Here is a 14,732-nt window from a genome sequence, read left to right as displayed (position 1 = left end):
GAACCAAGGTTTCCTTCCTGGTCTGGCATGAAAGGAAGCCAGGAGGGAGACGTCAGCAGCAGCCACGGGCACTCCCACTCCATTCCAGCTGGCCTGGGGGCTGCGGTTGACAGGCTGGCCCCAGGGAGGGGTTCCTGAGATGTTTCCTTACATGCGTAACTGGAATTGCACAGCTTGGTAATTAGGAGAGGCAGCAAAGTGTTCTATAAATGACTGTAATTATGGCCAACATGGCGAAACCCGTCTCTACTAAAAAATACAAAAAAATTAGCCAGGCATGGCGGCAGGTCCCCCTGTAATCCCAGCTACTTAGGAGGCTGAGGTAGGAGAATCGCTTGAACCCAGGAGGTGGAGGTTGCAGTGAGCCAAGATCAAGTCACTGCACTCCAGCCTGGGCGATAAGAACGAAACTCTGTCTCAAAAAAAAAAAAAAAAAAAAGGCTGTAATTATAGTTACTTTCTGAAGCCAAACCAGAATTTCCAGGATCACCTGGGGGAACCGGGTGAAGGGGAGAGGAGGAGGGAGGGGAAGATCTGGTTGTGAAGTGTCAGTTGTGGGCCAGACTTCCTCCATGAGCTATATACATGTTCACAAGGCCCCTCTGCAGACTTCTTGGGGGTCTAGATCACCAGCGGGCCTGGAACCCATCTGGTTCGGACCCCAATTTGACAGAGGCGAGAAGCCTAGAGAATGGAGTGGACTTGGTCCAAGTGACAGAGGCATCAGCAGCAGAACCTGGGCTGGAACCCAGCCATCCCATCAGCCAGACTGAGACACACATTTTTAGTTTTTGGACCACGCCAAACACTTTGTTTTCTCCTGGTCTTTCCCCAGTGTCCTCTCTAGCCTGGCACTCTCTCCTTACCCTTTTCTGGGATATATTTACCCTCCCCTTTGTTCTCTATAATGCTGCCTCCTCCAAGAAGCCTTCCCTGAACCCCTGCACAGAGTGTCTCCTCTGGTTCTCCGTGGCCCCCATGCATCCCTCTGTCCCCCCACAGACCGGCCCACCCTGGGTAGACCTGTCGCCTTCAGAGAGCAGGGACCACACTCAATTCCCAGTGATGGGCCTGCAGCCAGCTGGTACCGGCTCATAGGTGCTGGTGGCCACATTTTCAGAATTTTGCGAACGAGTTGTTAAGCACAGTCATTGTCGGTACTTAAATTATATAACCTTAAATACATTTTGTTAAAAAAGGAAATACCCACTAGCAACTCATCATTTCCTAATTATTTTACTATATGTTACCATTATTCATGCTCGTAAGGTAATTTGTGTCTATTGCACCTGGTGGTGCACACACTTTGTGATGTTGTGAACCAGCTCCACGCTCAGTGACAAAATACTGCTGGCTTTATATCTGCCAGGGTAGGAATATTTGCACCACAGAAATAGGCAAAGACTACAAATCAGGGCCCCTCACCCCAGTCCAGAGACCTGGTTGTTAAACACTGTTCAGCTCACCCCTGAATTTGCCTCTGACTTTCTGGCCCTGACAGCAGGCTTCGCACCTGGCAGATTTGGCAGGTGCTCAGTGAGGAAGGGCCACCGCGCAGGAGGAGAGAGGATGCAGGCTTAACCATGGGAGGAGGGACTGCCTGCTTCTGCCCCCAGTGCTGGCTCTGGCCTCTGCCCCATTTTCTGACCCCTACCCAGGGCTCTCACAGGGGTGTAGGTAAGCCCTGTGGCAGGGGCCTGCATCTTGGATTTGGGCGAAGCCTCTTTCCCAGGCCAGGGCTGAGGGGCCCCAGAGAGTCAGGCAGGTGTAGGTGGCCTTGGCAGGGCTCACAGAGAGCTGGGCCTGGAGGGGTTCCTGGCTCTTCCTCTTCCAAATTGTACATGGCAGTGTGCCACCTTCCTGCACCCCTCCCAGCCTGGCCACAGCAGGTGGAGTGGGTGGAAAGGCCGTGGGGCTGGGAGGCTTCAGAGAGGCATTTAGTGGGTTTTGGCATTTTGCAATGCACAGGTCAGATTTTGGGCTAAGGGTGTTTGCAGGGATGTGTTGGAGTTAAAGGTCACAACACACCTATAAAAACTGGAAATGGTCAATTATTGTCAGTGTCAAGAAGAAAAATTGCCCCTTTGTTGCCCTTTCACTACAGCAGAGTGCTACTTCAAACAAACCAATACGCAAATGCCAGCCCACAGGTGTGTTCTGGGAGGGATCTATCTAAGAATGATCTGGCCCTAAGTATCAATAGTGCTGAGGCTGAGAAACCCTGCCCCAGAAAGATGTTCTCACACACACCCAATTTTAGGGGACCCTTCAGTCCCGAGTAAAGAACCCCTGGTCTCTGCAACCTTAGTTTACAGAAGAGAAACTAACCAAGAGCTGAGGTGGGGGTGGTAAAGAGTGTGCTCAAGATCACCCAGCAAGTCCCCCTTGTGCACTCAGCAAGGTGCCTGCCCACAGTAGCGGCTCAGTAAATGTTAAATTGGGAAGAAAATCAGGAAAGGATTAGGCTCTGGCCTGAAACTCTTCTCAAGGTTGCCCTGGAAAGGATCCCACCAGCATCCCCTTGATCCTTGTTGGACTCCAGCTTCTTGGCAGCAGTTGCTGCTGCTGATTGGCATCTTCTTGACTGACATGAGGAGGCCCGATCCTGGCTGATGGTGGAGGCAGGCAAGGCTGCCTATAAGGTAAGGAAGAGAGTGGGTCAAGGTCAATTTCACACATCTAAGCCAGAGGGGACACAGTGGTTACAAGGGTTCACCATGGTGGCAGGCACCCAGGGTATTGGAGAGCTGGGCCACCCATGGTGATGGGTGGGCTAGGACAGGTTCCTGCAAGGTGTGTGGGGTTTATGTGCAGGTTGAGCTCAGATTTTCTGACCCTACCTGCCTGATGACCCAAGGTCCTTAATTAGCTAGATGCTCCTGTCTGGTGCCTGCTTCTGGAACTGGCCTTAAAGAGCCCACAAGGGTAATATCTGTGGGGGCCTCAGCTGCCACCTCTGCTCGCCATCCTTCCCTCCCTCTTCAACGGAAGCAAAATTGCATAGGTTTATGAATGTCAGATTTATAGCTCTACTTCAGGGTTCATATCCCAGATTTGCTTCTTATTGGCTGTGTGACCTTAGGCAAGTTATTCAACTTGTTTTTTTCCTCAGCTGTAGAATGGGGTTAACACAATTGTATCCACCTTGATAGGGTTAATGGCAGGATCAAATTAATTTTTTTTTGAGACCAAGTTTCACTCTTGTTGCCCAAGCTGGAGTGTAGTGGTGCGATCTCGGATCACTGCCACCCTCCTGGGTTCAAGCGATTCTCCTGCCTCAGTCTCCCAAGTAGCTGGGGTTACAGGCATGCACCACTATGGCCGGCTAATTTTGTATTTTTAATAGAGTCAGGGTTTCACCATGTTGGCCAGGCTAGTCTTGAACTGCTGACCTCAGGTGATCCACCCACCTCGGCCTCCCAAAGTGTTGGGATTACAGGCATGAGCCACCACGTCCGGCCCAAATTACTTAATTTTTTTTTTTAACAGATCAGTCAGAGGGATGGCTGGCCTAGAGTAACCAGTCAACAAATAGGAACTAATACCAGTACGGTTTTTATTGGGTTCCTCACACCCTCCACGGATGGTGAGAACTAACTTAAGTCTCCTTTTCTCTCGAGCATCTCCATCTTTCTGCTGCCCTCTAGTGGAGCCCGGCTGTATGTCCTGAGAGGACACGAGATGAACTTGGTTGTGTCCGGAGAGGTAATTTCTTGCTTCAGATTTCAAAGAAAGTGTGCCATTTAAGGAAACCTGGTGATTGGTTCTTGTACAGAGTCAAACAACTAGTTTCTCCCCCATCCTCCCAAGCGGAATGCACCTGTGGTTGGCATTTGTGTGCTGGTTTGTTGGAAGCAGCACTTTACTACAGTGAAAGGGCAACAAGGGCAATTTTTCTTCTTGACATTGATGATAATTGGCCATTTTCACTTTTTACAGGTGCAGTAACCCCAACATATTTCTGTAAACTTCCTTACCTGAGCTTTTATAGCAACCAGGTGGGGCCACATGTTGTCCCAGCCTGGTCCCCTGCTCCCATGGACCTTGCGAGAAGCGAAAGGACAACCACAGAGGGTGGGGGTTCTGTGCTGGGCACTGGGTGTGCAAAGCTGTATGTGATGTAACCGTGGACCTTGGAGAGAGGTTTCTTTAAGGGAAAGATGAGGATGGAGCGGGGCAGGGGGCAGGATAGGAAGGAGCCTGGATACCTACCTGGTCTGGCTGCTGGGAGGTCAGTGAGAGCGAGGGGAGGGGCAGGCCAGAGTACTGGATTGGAATAGTCCCCGGGCCCCCTGCTGGGGAAACTGAGTTCTGGGAGGGACAAAGCTGTGCCGCACACCTGGCTACCTGAGGGACCCTGGAGCTTGGTCTGTCGCAGCACACCTGTGTCTGCGGGCAACACGGCCGATGGCCACTCCAGATGCTCGATCAATTCTGCAGCTTAGGCCAGTCTCAGAAGGCTCCGCAACACCTGCGCCAGGTCTCTGCGCCTTCCCCACGCGTTCACGCTCCAGGTCCTCACGCCTCTCAGCCCTGGCCTTGGTCCCGCCCCCTCATGGCCAGCCAATCCGAGAACCCCAGCAACCCCCTCGTCCAATGCGGCGCCTCCGGGTCCGCGCCCGCCCCGCCCCCTCCACCGCAGCCTCTGTAGGTGGATGCTTTCCGCTGCTCCGGCCGCCGGCGCCCGAAGCCAGCATCCCAGCTGCGGCCCCCACCAGGAGGTGCTGGAGGGGACTGCGGCTCGTGCCCCGGAGCCAGTCCTAGGCTCCGGAGCCAAGCGTGTCTCCCGGCCTCGTTCCCAGGATCTCCCTTCTGGAAGCCGCACCTTCTTCTCGTGCGCCCTCCCCACGGGCAGGGGATACATCCCGGAAGCGGTGCAGGGGAAGGCTCTGTGGACAGGGGCGCGGGCTCTGGCTTCAGCCCTGTTCTGGCTCTCCTGGATCCTCCCCTCAGGCCCTCAGCCTCCTTATCTGACAAACGGGGATTTGCGGCTGCCGGGGTTGGCTCTGGGACCATTTAGCCTACAGTGCGAGTTCGGACGGAACGGACCATGTAAACCAAATAAGTCCACTGTGGGCTGTGGCTGGCTCTCCCACTCCTTTCCTGGCCCCCCGGTAGGGCCCAGACTCAGCCCGGGGCCCCCAGTCCCCTGCCTCGCGAGCCCACCTCCTTCCTGCACGCGGGCGGCTGGGTGTCCGAGCCCGGCGCTGTTGCTGTGGGCTTTGGCTCCACCTAGTGGCACAAGGTTTGATCTGAGAGGCGCCGGCTGAGGCTCTGGAGTGAAGGAAGCGGTATCTGAATGGCTGAGAGAGAGACTGGAGCAAGGACAAAGTGGCATTTCTCTGCCTCAGCTTCTGCCGCAGACCTGGCTGAGGGTGGCCTCAGTCCACTCCGCCCTCTGGTTCCGAGGGGAGGCTGGGGTACTGTGCACTTGCCTGTGCTACTGTGTTAGCTTTTTCATGTTCTCCTTGTGGGGTGCTGTCCTTGTGCCACGTGGAAGCCTCTCATAGCCCGCTGGCCCCATGCACACCTGCCTGGAACACTGAGGCTATAGTCGTCGAATAAGTGTGGGCCACCGCTCTGTGGCCGACTATGTAAACCAGGCAGGTGGCCCTTCCCCTCCTGCCCCCACTACCTACTGTCCCCAGGAGGGAAGAGGTGCCCATGCCAACCTCCGTGGCTCACTGGTCTTGAATCTTAGTGCCCTTAGCAGCCCCAGCCACTGGTTGCAGTAAGAAGCTTCTTGCTTACATGACATGGCATGGCATGGCTTCTGTGCCCTTGTCTGACTGGCCCCATCCTCTTCCTCCTCTGGAACTGGACTCTGTCTCCATGGTCCAGCCACGATGGGTGTTTTTCCTTATGTGCCTGTGTAAAGGGGTGCGAGGTGTGTCAGGGGGAGGACAGGGAAGAGCTGTTGGCCTGGTTACTTATGTACTGCCCGCTAGAGAAGCCCGCAGCGGGGGCCTCCCAAGGGCCCATGTGAATATTTCACAGCTGAAGAAAAAATGATTGGCTCTCAAATAAGAACACTGCAAAATGGAAATCAATAAATTCTTAATCAAGTGTCCAACTGTAACATTATATCAACCTCATTAACTGTTAAATTTAGTATTCATAAAAATTTCATTACATCTGAAAGAATGTGTGGGCTAGGTTTTTCTCATTTCACAAGAATTCCCAATTGTAATTTAAATCAGTCACTCCTAGCCAAATGGTTTCAAGAGCAAAATTATAAATATCCTTTCAAAAACTTTACAGCAAATTTTTAATATTTTAACATGTTTGCACTGAGGAAGTGAAGTGAAGCTGTAAAAATAAAAATGAAGCTGAACGCGGTGGCACGCGCCTGTATTCCCAGCTACTCAGGAGGCCGAGCCAGGAGAATTGCTTGAGCCCAGGAGTTCAAAGCCAGCCTGGGCAATGTATAGAGGGGGACAAGGAGCCACAGTGTGCACCCAGGCAGGGAGTGCCTGGGTACTCATTCACCCTTCAAGTTGGGGTGTGGGGGTTCCTCTGGACTTACAGGAGTGATGAGGATTTAGAGGAGCAGGGAGAGGCTGCCCTGGGTAGCTAAGATTAGGGCTCAGGTTCCAGTTCACCATGTGGAGTTAAGTTCTCATAGGAGGGCTGCAATGGGTGGGCCCCTAGGAACAGCCCTCAGAGATGCCCTTTGCAGAGGCTCCCAACCTGGCAACACTCCTTTGCCGGGGGCTCTGGGCCTTTGACTTCTGGGTCCAGTCTTCTCCCCTCCTTTACCCCAATTACTCCTGCCCCTAAAGCTATGTCAACTCTGTCCCGTATTTCCCTTCATTTCACTCTTGTTGGACAGAAGGAATAGCCCAGGATCCATAAAAAGAAACAGTCCCCAAAGCAGGGACCCCTTTCCTCCAGGACACAGAACATTCAGTCTTCATAATCCCTGACTACATAAGCCCTGGCCCGGGCAGGAACAATGTGTTTCATTCCTTCCTTGGGAATGTCTCTTTACCATATGGCCACATGACCCCTCCCAAGGCCAAACAAACAAACAAACAGGAAAAACCCCAAACAGCAAAAGGAATCTATTTAATAATAGTTTTAACAGCCACATCTGATACTTAAGCTGAGAAATGCCATAACCTTGAGTCCCATCTCTAGGGCTGATTTCTCTCCAAACATCTTAGGTCCTTGCCTCTCCCTCCTCCCTTTAAACTGTTAGAGTGGGGTGACACCGAAACAGATGAAATGCCCTCAGAGAAAGAAATAGGGTGGAGTCGGGGGGACCATCTGACTTAGTGAAATACCCTGAGCTGTGCATGTGAAAACAAACAGGGAAAGAATCACCTAATTTTCATGTATGGTGTCCATACCCTAAGCTGAGCAAGAGGGTGATGTTTAAGGCAATGATATTAGGTGGGCTACTTTGAGAACCTCTGAATCTTTTAAGTGCTTTTTTTTATCTTGCAACAGCTCTGAGAGGCAGGTCTGATTATCTCCATTTTAAATATGAAAAAATTAAGTCTCAAGTAGCTCAAGTGTCTTGCCCTATGCCACGCGACCACTCAGTGGTTGAACTAGGATTTGAACCTGAGTCCATGTGGCTCCAAAACCGTTGCTTGTTTCATGATACAAAACTGTATTATTATGTCTATGGTCTGGCCAGCACCTCTGCTAGCGGATGTATTGCCATCCAGAGCAAAACGACATTGTCCAGCCTCCCTGTACCTACCTCCCTGTACCTAGGTACAGTCATGTGGTTACTGAATGGAAGGTCTTGACTGAGTTGTCCAGGTTCTTGGCATGTTAAAGAATTGAACAAAACGCACAAAGCAACAAAAGACAAAGCAACGAAAGAATGGAGTAATGAAGGCACAGATTTATTGAAGATGTGCAAGTACAATTCACAGAGCAAGAGTGGGCTTGAGCAAGTGGCTCAGGAGCCCCTTCAATTAGAGATTTTATTAAGCTAAAGAACATGAACACCCCCGGTGCCCTCCAGAGGCCTCCAATCAGTTACATCCAATGAAGGATTGATCCGTGACCAATTAGAGGCTTAAGTGGCGACTTGGCCTGTGGTTATCACAGAAGTGAAGATGTGGCCTGTATGTTGCCTAATCCTGCCTAGAATTGGCTGTACCTGCTGTGCCTTTTGCTTATGTGAACTGGCTGCACCTGCTCTTCTTTTGTTCCTACCTTAATCCTTGGTTGCCCTAATTCCCTATTCTCCTGCCTCAATGTGGTTAAGTTCCCACCAATCAGATATGGTTGGACTCGTGTGGGACTTTGAGGAAGGGGCTTAAATGAAGCTGGCTCTTCAGGGAGGGCCCCTTTTGGTCTTCTTGAGTTCTTCCGCCTTCTGGCCAGCAACACGGTTAATGCTCCAGCAGCAGCTTGGACCATCGGGTGGCCTTAGAAATGCCAACCAAATGTCTTCGTGGTGAAGCAGGAAGATGGAGCCTGGCATTTTGCTGGGACTGACACACTCACCCTGGACTGCCCAGCCTTGGACATCCTTTATGGGAGAGAGAATACACTTCTATCTTCTTTAAGTCTGTGATTTGGATTTTCTGTTTATCCATCCAAGCTGCCTGCAATGAATAAAATCATGTTCCCCGTCCTAGGCAACGTTTAGATGGGTCTAAATGTGTACACCCTCTACTCTGAGAATGATAGGATAGTTACAGAATGTGGGAGGCAGGAGTGGGAGGAGAAAGCACTATAAGTATGGGCCTGTCTTGAGAGAGCCAAGAAGGACTTTGGCATAGCCGAGCACTAGGCTAACCTCACCTAGCAGAGGATTCACTTGCCCATCGTAAGGGGCTTGGTGAGGGTTGGACCCTAACTTCCCATCACTTTTGAGAGGGTGAAAATTTCAGTTTGGGCACTGGCAAGAACAGAGAGAGGGAGGGAAAAATTATGTAATATACACATGTATATGTGTAATATATATATTTTGAAATGTATGTATCATTCATTAATCTTCTCAATAGTCCTGAAACAGCCACTGAAAAGTTTTGAAGCAGGGCCAGTTTAATCCACTGAGCTTGGAAGCTGATCCTACACCCTGGTCAAGCTTCAGGGATGGCAGCCGCTTGTGAGAAACCCTGAGCATGAGCCACTCAGCCACCCAGCCACCCAGTCACCCAGCCACCCAGCCACCCAGTCACCCAGAAAAGCTGCTCCTGGGTGCTGCACCCTCGGAAGCTGTGAGATAATAAACATTTATTGTTTTAAGCCACTAAATTTTGGGATAATTTGTTAAGCAGCAGTAAACAGCTAATACATTCAGCCTTGTTTGGAGTGAGTGATGTGTTTCTGGAAGCTCTTTCAGAGAAGTGAGGGAGCTATTCTCCCAGAAGCCACAGCAAACCTTTCCCTGTGTTTCATTGGCCCAAACTGAATCGCTGGCCTATGCTGTGATGTGACCATGGCCATTGGAGAGGATGAGGCAATAACCTCCAGCCCGGGCCACTTCTGGGGAGGCGGTCAGTGCCCCACAACACTGGGGGAGGTGCGGAGGCCTGAACGGAAGTTGGGGTGGCTGCCAAGAGGACCACAAGTTCTTCCATGCCACATCGATTAGGGCTCCTTCTGAGGGAGGAATGTGGGGCTGCGTAGAACAATGGGATTGACTTTAAGTCAGAAAGTTATAAATGTCACCTCAGTGCTGAGACCCTTGGAGGAAAAACTAGTCCTTGGAAGACTGCTTTTCTTTGTGGAAGCTCATCACCCTGCCGCTGCTCGTGAGACACTGCCTTCCTTGGCTGATGTCATTCCAGGCTCAAGGTCATCAGTGAGGCAAAACAGGCTTTCTCCATACTCTCTTTATCAGAAGGTTCATGACTGATGAGGTAGTGGTCACTCCAGCGGGAAGAGCAACAACCACTCTTGATAAGTACTTTTTTTTTTTCTTCTAAAAACTGTTGCTCTAAATTTGTTGAAAGTGGTTCAACAGTATTGGAGTCTGGGGTCAAGTGGCTGTGTAAGGACAACTTTTGCCATTGTGGGTGATCTATGGGCTGACACATACAACAGAAGAGGCCAGGAGGATGTCACTCGTGTGTGTGTGTGTGTGTGTGTGTTTGGTAACAGCTCTATTGAGATATAATTCACACACCATACAATTCACCCATTTAAAGTATGCAATTCAATGGCTTTTAGTGTATCAGAGAGTTGTTCAATAATTACCACAATATACTTTAGAATATTTTCATTTTCATCATCCTAAGAATCCCTACACACTTTATGTCCCATCCTCTAATTCCTCTATCCCCCTAGCTCTAAGCAACCACCAGTCTATTTTCTGTCTCTTAGATGTGTGTTTTAAATGCCTTATTTGCCAGAAAATAAGATTTTGGGGAAAAAAAGCAAGAAGTTGTACCTTCCAATGATAAGTATAAGGTATAGTGTAGATTGCTGTCATGAAATGCTCTACATGGCACATGTATGTTTTCTGACCTACACATTTTTACCAAGTGGGCTGTAATTTTGTTGAAATGACTTGAAAACTCTACAGGTGACTGACCCTTGTTGTTTGGGAAAGTGGTAGGTGCAGGGTGATGGGGGGTGGGTGTGGGGGCTGACCTGGGCTGGAAGGATGGGTCTGGGGATATGATATGATGGGAGGGGGTATGGAAGCAGCTCTGAGGGGAAAGCAGCACAGATCAAGTGTGTGGACAGGGAAGAGCTGACATCCTGAGTTCCATGGCAACCAGATTTGCCAAGGTCTTAGAGTGTGTCCAGAGTGGAGCCTGACCACAGACCTCAGCTCAAGGGACCCAGAGCCCCTCTGAGTCAGCTGTACTGAATTACAGCCCCAAATCTGGGTCAACTGGGGAGAGACGACGAGGATTAGGGTTCCAAGGTGAAACTGTGCCATTGCGCTCCAGCCTGGGCAACAAGAATGAAACTCTCTTAAAATAAAATAAAATAAAATAAAATAAAATAAAATAAAATAGCCTAAGGATGCATTTCTCAGAACTTATCCCTGTTGTTCAATGATGTGTGTCTATACAGTGGGGCCATAACTAAGACGTATGTTGCCCAAGCTGGCAAGATAGCTCTGACCTTCTCTTGGGCCCCTCATTTCCCCCAAACACAGGTTGTCTGCAGTCTTGACCAATGGCTGCCAGGGCATGGACTCCGCTGCAGGGGCCAGTGGGAGGCCCCAGCTCAGGCAAAAGCACAGGCAGATATTTCAGGAGTCTGCTAGGGCTGGCACTGAGGGCAGAGACAGAGGGGTCTCCCTGTCCTTTGGAGAACCTCACGCTGCAGAAATTCCAGACTGAACCTTCATACCGAGTAGGGGAGGAGCTGTCTGCGGGTTTGAGCCTGCAGCAGGAGGAAGGACGTGAACATTTTATCAGCTTCTGGTATGGCCTTGAGCTGGTAGTTATAATCTTGGCCCTGGTGGCCCAGGGCTACAGTCATCCTAGCAGTCCCCGCTGAAGTGGAGCAGGTACAGTCACAGCTGTGGGGACAGCATGCTGGCCAAGGGTCTTCCCCCACGCTCAGTCCTGGTCAAAGGCTGCCAGACCTTTCTGAGTGCCCCCAGGGAGGGGCTGGGGCGTCTCAGGGTGCCCACTGGCGAGGGAGCTGGCATCTCCACCCGCAGTCCTCGCCCCTTCAATGAGATCCCCTCTCCTGGTGACAATGGCTGGCTAAACCTGTACCATTTCTGGAGGGAGACGGGCACACACAAAGTCCACCTTCACCATGTCCAGAATTTCCAGAAGTATGGCCCGATTTACAGGTAAGCCTGGCAGAGGGTGGGAGCCGAAGGGACAGGGAGGAGGAGGGGCCTGGGTAGCCCTGCTGTAGTCCCCACTCCCCCAACAGGCTGTTCTCTGGTTCCAAACTCCTGTCTAACTTCTTTTTTTTTTTTTTTTTTGGTAATACAATACAGAAATATATCAGGGATATTTCAAAATTCAACATTTGAATCTGTGAATGTCTTAAGTACTCTAAACCAGACATCTACTTTTGAAACAATTGGTGGCAAGACCGCCAGCCATCTGTAAGGAAGCTCTTTAATGGGTCCAAACCCCAGGTCTGGCCAGGCATGGTGGCTCACACCCATAATCCCAGCACTTTGGGAGGCCGAGGTGGGCGGATCACTTGAGATCAAGAGTTCGAGACCATCCTGGCCAACATGATGAAACCCCGTCTCTACTAAAAATACAAAAATTAGCTGGGTGTGGTGGCAGGCGCCTGTAATCCCAGCTACTCGGGAGGCTGAAGCAGGAGAATGGCTTGAACCGGAGAGGCAGAGGTTGCAGTGAGCCGAGATCGCACCATTGCAATCCAGCCTGGGCGACAGAGTGAGATTCTGTCTCAAACAAAACAAAACAACCTCCTCGGTCTGAGGAGGGGAGACTGGTGAGGCTAAGTTTTGAATTCCTGGCCCTGTAGCTGTCAGCCCAGCCAGCGAGTTTTAAAAATTGGGAGAAGGCCGGGTGCGGTGGCTCACGCTTGTAATCCCAGCACTTTGGGAGGCTGAGGCAGGCGGATCACTTGAGGACAGGAGTTCGAGATCAACCCGGCCAACATGGTGAAACCCTGTCTCTACTACAAAAATAAATAAATAAATAAATAAATAAATAAATAAAATAAAAAAAATTAGCCGGGCATGGTGGCGGGGGTCTATAATCCCAGCTACTCGGGAGGCTGAGGCAGGACACTCGCCCGAACCCAGGAGGTGGAGGTTGCAGTGAGCCGAGATCATGTCACTGCACTCCCGCCCTGGGCAACAAAAGCGAAACTCTGTCTCAAAAAAAAAAAAAAAAAAAAAATCGGGGGAGGGAGATTTGAAGGTCAGAGCACAGAGTGAAAAGGTCGCAGCGTGGTCAAGTTTGGCGCTAGCGACAGACCCAGCATTCCTCCCAGCGCACGCCGCCGCCCGGGCCGCGCTATTCCGAAATTGGGTCCGCCCTAGCGTGGCCCCCGGCCTGCTCCTGCGCTCTTCGCGGGTCGCTCACCTCCGCCTCCCCTCGACACAGCCCGAGCCCATCCGCCCCCCGGGTCGACCCGCGTTTACCTCAGGGCGAGGTCCAGGCGCTCGGCCCCGCGGAGGCGGCGGCGGCCCCACCGCAGGTCCTAGGTCCCAGTCACTCTGCCGCCAAGTTCCCCAACACGGACTCCGTGCGCTTTGAGGTGTTACGGGGGCGCTGGAGCACTGGCTTCGCTGGCCCTGCCAGGAGGCGGCGGCGAAGCAGGGAGCGACCCGGTATGCGTTTCTCTGCCCGGCCTGCGGCCCTGCAGCATCCACTCCTCGCCTCTGCTGGCCTCTGCCCTCGCTCGCTGCGTTCACCCGAGCTCACCCGAGCCCACCGGAGCCGACAGTGGCGCGCTAAGGTGACGTCCGCGCGGCCGGACCTCTCCTGTCCAACTTCTGATCTTCTTCCAGGCCTGGGATGGTGGTGGGTAAAAGGGAAAGTATTCCTAGTTCCCAGGCCTGAGGCCTCAACCTTCCCCAGATCCCACTCCCTTTGAAACTCTCGGAGAGAGGTGGTTAGAGAACAAGCCCTACTAAATGCCTCCCTACATCCGTTACCCTCCGCACACCTTGCAAGCGAAGTTTGTTGTCCCCATGGTCAGAGGAGGAGACTGAGGCTCAGAGAGGTCACCCAGCTAGATTCCTGTCCTGCTGGGGTGCTGGATCTCACCCCTTGGCCCTGAGGCTCTGAGTCTGTCCCTTCCCTTTCCCAAGAATCGGGCTTGCTTCCTGCTAGGAGGAAAGGCCTTTTTTTTTTTTTTTTGTCTTTGGGCCTCTGTGCCTCCAGGGCTTGTGGCTTTTTCCTGGGAAAACTGCTAAAGCTGTTCCCACGGTGGGCAGCCTTTCAGCCACACCTGGGTTCTTTGCTAAGAGTCCGGTTGAGAGGGAACGGAGGTGGCGCAGGGGTGGTTGGGGGCTGGGAGGGGAGACCAGGAGGGACAGTACGTTTTCCTTTAAGTGAAAGGTCTTTACAACTCAGAGCATTCCAATGGGTCAGTCACGAAGAGGGAAGGGTAAGATGTGTTGGCCGGCTTGATGACTGGGCTGGGGGTGGGTGAGAAGGCAGGCTAGTTTGTGTTGGGGCTTCAGCTGCTCCCTCCCTCTCTCACAACTCCTTTAAAGTCCAAACTGCCCCTTTTGATAGCTGGTTGGTGGCAGGGAGCTCCCCCCACCCCGCACCCCACCCTATTCAAGGTTGAGTGCTGGGCTTGGGAGGTTGCGCCCCGCTGGGTCTCTCCTTCCTCCCCCTCTCTCCTAGGCCTATTAGTGCTTCTGTCCCGTGCTCACTTCACATAGATCTCTAGTTATCCTTGCTTCCTCCTCTCTTCCCTTTTCACCACTTCCTAGACCCTCAGTAGCAACTCCTTATTTTATTAAGCCCCTTTGTTACCGGTGGAGGGTGTCCAGGTTCTTGGCGTCTTGAACAAAGAATTGGACAAAATGCACAGACAAAGTAAGGAAGGAATGAAGGGATTTATTGAAAATGAACATACACACCACAGTGTGGGAGCAGGCGGAGCGTAGGGGCTCAAAGGTCCCGTTACAGAATTGTGGGGCATTTACCCCCAGAGGATTCCATTGGTTACTTCAGATACACCTTATGTAAATGGAGAGGATGAAGTATTCAAGTTACATAGTCATACACCCTATGGAGAGGATATTTCCTGTTATAGCTGAAGTGTGAATCGATCTTCACACTTCAGACCCTATTTTCCTGCCTCATCTGCCCCTTCAAGAGATGTGATCCCCATAAATC

At 51.6% G+C, this 14,732-nt stretch overlaps 1 protein-coding gene and 1 long non-coding RNA gene across 3 annotated transcripts in view, besides 32 other annotated features; one reads left to right on the top strand and one right to left on the bottom strand.

Annotated features, from left to right (window-relative positions):
• Window positions 72-572: an enhancer, noted in NCBI's record as "H3K4me1 hESC enhancer chr15:74670820-74671320 (GRCh37/hg19 assembly coordinates)". NCBI's record gives its function as "activates a minimal SCP1, AML or CMV promoter by ChIP-STARR-seq in primed H9 embryonic stem cells {active_cell/tissue: H9 hESC(primed)}" and the evidence as "EXISTENCE:reporter gene assay evidence [ECO:0000049][PMID:30033119]".
• Window positions 3,460-3,509: an enhancer, noted in NCBI's record as "active region_9749". NCBI's record gives its function as "activates an Ori minimal core promoter by ATAC-STARR-seq in GM12878 lymphoblastoid cells {active_cell/tissue: GM12878}" and the evidence as "EXISTENCE:reporter gene assay evidence [ECO:0000049][PMID:35858748]".
• Window positions 3,837-4,384: an enhancer, noted in NCBI's record as "H3K4me1 hESC enhancer chr15:74667008-74667555 (GRCh37/hg19 assembly coordinates)". NCBI's record gives its function as "activates a minimal SCP1, AML or CMV promoter by ChIP-STARR-seq in naive H9 embryonic stem cells {active_cell/tissue: H9 hESC(naive)}" and the evidence as "EXISTENCE:reporter gene assay evidence [ECO:0000049][PMID:30033119]".
• Window positions 4,516-4,575: a silencer, noted in NCBI's record as "silent region_6648". NCBI's record gives its function as "represses an Ori minimal core promoter by ATAC-STARR-seq in GM12878 lymphoblastoid cells {active_cell/tissue: GM12878}" and the evidence as "EXISTENCE:reporter gene assay evidence [ECO:0000049][PMID:35858748]".
• Window positions 4,866-4,915: an enhancer, noted in NCBI's record as "active region_9748". NCBI's record gives its function as "activates an Ori minimal core promoter by ATAC-STARR-seq in GM12878 lymphoblastoid cells {active_cell/tissue: GM12878}" and the evidence as "EXISTENCE:reporter gene assay evidence [ECO:0000049][PMID:35858748]".
• Window positions 5,176-5,225: a silencer, noted in NCBI's record as "silent region_6647". NCBI's record gives its function as "represses an Ori minimal core promoter by ATAC-STARR-seq in GM12878 lymphoblastoid cells {active_cell/tissue: GM12878}" and the evidence as "EXISTENCE:reporter gene assay evidence [ECO:0000049][PMID:35858748]".
• LOC124903524 (uncharacterized) lies at window positions 7,839-13,589 on the bottom strand. The gene is made up of 2 exons (XR_007064709.1): window positions 13,546-13,589; window positions 7,839-13,389 (listed from the first exon to the last, which is right to left on the bottom strand). It is a non-coding gene; the product is annotated as an uncharacterized LOC124903524 (long non-coding RNA).
• Window positions 9,053-11,455: a promoter, noted in NCBI's record as "PvuII/HindIII fragment for 2327CAT construct". NCBI's record gives its function as "cyclic AMP responsive promoter; drives expression in adrenal cortex, testis, ovary, granulosa cells" and the evidence as "EXISTENCE:reporter gene assay evidence [ECO:0000049][PMID:1700277]" and "EXISTENCE:transgenic organism evidence [ECO:0001131][PMID:10579324]".
• Window positions 9,269-9,277: a protein binding site, noted in NCBI's record as "Ad4BP site HSC-h". NCBI's record gives the evidence for it as "EXISTENCE:protein binding evidence [ECO:0000024][PMID:1517227]".
• Window positions 9,477-9,500: a protein binding site, noted in NCBI's record as "AdE2". NCBI's record gives the evidence for it as "EXISTENCE:protein binding evidence [ECO:0000024][PMID:8703023]".
• Window positions 9,477-9,535: an enhancer, noted in NCBI's record as "AdE; -1903 to -1845". NCBI's record gives the evidence for it as "EXISTENCE:reporter gene assay evidence [ECO:0000049][PMID:8703023]".
• Window positions 9,505-9,535: a protein binding site, noted in NCBI's record as "AdE1". NCBI's record gives the evidence for it as "EXISTENCE:protein binding evidence [ECO:0000024][PMID:8703023]".
• Window positions 9,654-9,662: a protein binding site, noted in NCBI's record as "Ad4BP site HSC-g". NCBI's record gives the evidence for it as "EXISTENCE:protein binding evidence [ECO:0000024][PMID:1517227]".
• Window positions 9,673-9,681: a protein binding site, noted in NCBI's record as "Ad4BP site HSC-f". NCBI's record gives the evidence for it as "EXISTENCE:protein binding evidence [ECO:0000024][PMID:1517227]".
• Window positions 9,705-9,827: an enhancer, noted in NCBI's record as "-1697 to -1523; similar to U-CRS". NCBI's record gives its function as "cyclic AMP responsive enhancer" and the evidence as "EXISTENCE:reporter gene assay evidence [ECO:0000049][PMID:1847689, PMID:8119986]".
• Window positions 9,738-9,746: a protein binding site, noted in NCBI's record as "Ad4BP site HSC-e". NCBI's record gives the evidence for it as "EXISTENCE:protein binding evidence [ECO:0000024][PMID:1517227]".
• Window positions 9,743-9,760: a protein binding site, noted in NCBI's record as "CRE-1". NCBI's record gives the evidence for it as "EXISTENCE:protein binding evidence [ECO:0000024][PMID:8026494, PMID:11864972]".
• Window positions 9,755-9,775: a protein binding site, noted in NCBI's record as "-1597 to -1573". NCBI's record gives the evidence for it as "EXISTENCE:protein binding evidence [ECO:0000024][PMID:15613430]".
• Window positions 9,765-9,772: a protein binding site, noted in NCBI's record as "Ad4BP site HSC-d". NCBI's record gives the evidence for it as "EXISTENCE:protein binding evidence [ECO:0000024][PMID:1517227, PMID:11328860]".
• Window positions 10,703-10,711: a protein binding site, noted in NCBI's record as "Ad4BP site HSC-c". NCBI's record gives the evidence for it as "EXISTENCE:protein binding evidence [ECO:0000024][PMID:1517227]".
• Window positions 10,842-10,850: a protein binding site, noted in NCBI's record as "Ad4BP site HSC-b". NCBI's record gives the evidence for it as "EXISTENCE:protein binding evidence [ECO:0000024][PMID:1517227]".
• Window positions 11,249-11,273: an enhancer, noted in NCBI's record as "-155 to -131". NCBI's record gives the evidence for it as "EXISTENCE:reporter gene assay evidence [ECO:0000049][PMID:7748495, PMID:10644752]".
• Window positions 11,249-11,273: a protein binding site, noted in NCBI's record as "-155 to -131". NCBI's record gives its function as "negative regulation of promoter activity" and the evidence as "EXISTENCE:protein binding evidence [ECO:0000024][PMID:16730372]".
• Window positions 11,249-11,273: a protein binding site, noted in NCBI's record as "-155 to -131". NCBI's record gives its function as "positive regulation of promoter activity" and the evidence as "EXISTENCE:protein binding evidence [ECO:0000024][PMID:7748495]".
• Window positions 11,249-11,273: a protein binding site, noted in NCBI's record as "-155 to -131". NCBI's record gives its function as "may compete with binding and block upregulation of transcription" and the evidence as "EXISTENCE:protein binding evidence [ECO:0000024][PMID:10644752]".
• Window positions 11,249-11,273: a protein binding site, noted in NCBI's record as "-155 to -131". NCBI's record gives its function as "positive regulation of promoter activity" and the evidence as "EXISTENCE:protein binding evidence [ECO:0000024][PMID:11349124]".
• Window positions 11,249-11,273: a protein binding site, noted in NCBI's record as "-155 to -131". NCBI's record gives its function as "positive regulation of promoter activity" and the evidence as "EXISTENCE:protein binding evidence [ECO:0000024][PMID:10644752]".
• Window positions 11,287-11,310: a protein binding site, noted in NCBI's record as "P-CRS; -117 to -94". NCBI's record gives the evidence for it as "EXISTENCE:protein binding evidence [ECO:0000024][PMID:8119986]".
• Window positions 11,349-11,376: a protein binding site, noted in NCBI's record as "-50 to -25". NCBI's record gives the evidence for it as "EXISTENCE:protein binding evidence [ECO:0000024][PMID:15613430]".
• Window positions 11,355-11,372: a protein binding site, noted in NCBI's record as "SCC1 site". NCBI's record gives the evidence for it as "EXISTENCE:protein binding evidence [ECO:0000024][PMID:12145340]".
• Window positions 11,358-11,366: a protein binding site, noted in NCBI's record as "Ad4BP site HSC-a". NCBI's record gives its function as "positive regulation of promoter activity" and the evidence as "EXISTENCE:protein binding evidence [ECO:0000024][PMID:1517227, PMID:9468515, PMID:11328860]".
• Window positions 11,376-11,381: a TATA box. NCBI's record gives the evidence for it as "COORDINATES:motif similarity evidence [ECO:0000028][PMID:3038854, PMID:10419010]".
• Window positions 11,405-14,732, top strand: part of CYP11A1 (cytochrome P450 family 11 subfamily A member 1) — a 29,885-nt gene continuing 26,557 nt past the window's right edge. Inside the window, exon 1 of one of the 2 annotated variants that reach the window (NM_000781.3) lies at window positions 11,405-11,734. In NM_000781.3, the coding sequence (NP_000772.2) occupies window positions 11,466-11,734 (269 nt within the window). In that variant the 5' untranslated portion in view covers window positions 11,405-11,465. Of the gene's footprint in view, window positions 11,735-12,856; window positions 13,336-14,732 lie in introns of those variants that run through there. The other variant, NM_001099773.2, reaches the window with a different exon arrangement.
• Window positions 12,863-13,022: a silencer, noted in NCBI's record as "silent region_6646". NCBI's record gives its function as "represses an Ori minimal core promoter by ATAC-STARR-seq in GM12878 lymphoblastoid cells {active_cell/tissue: GM12878}" and the evidence as "EXISTENCE:reporter gene assay evidence [ECO:0000049][PMID:35858748]".

This window comes from Homo sapiens, chromosome 15 (assembly GCF_000001405.40).
Source record: "Homo sapiens chromosome 15, GRCh38.p14 Primary Assembly".
Taxonomy (NCBI): Eukaryota; Metazoa; Chordata; class Mammalia; order Primates; family Hominidae; genus Homo; species Homo sapiens.
Note: the sequence above shows the minus strand (reverse complement) of the source record. Positions and strands in the feature narration are given on the sequence as shown.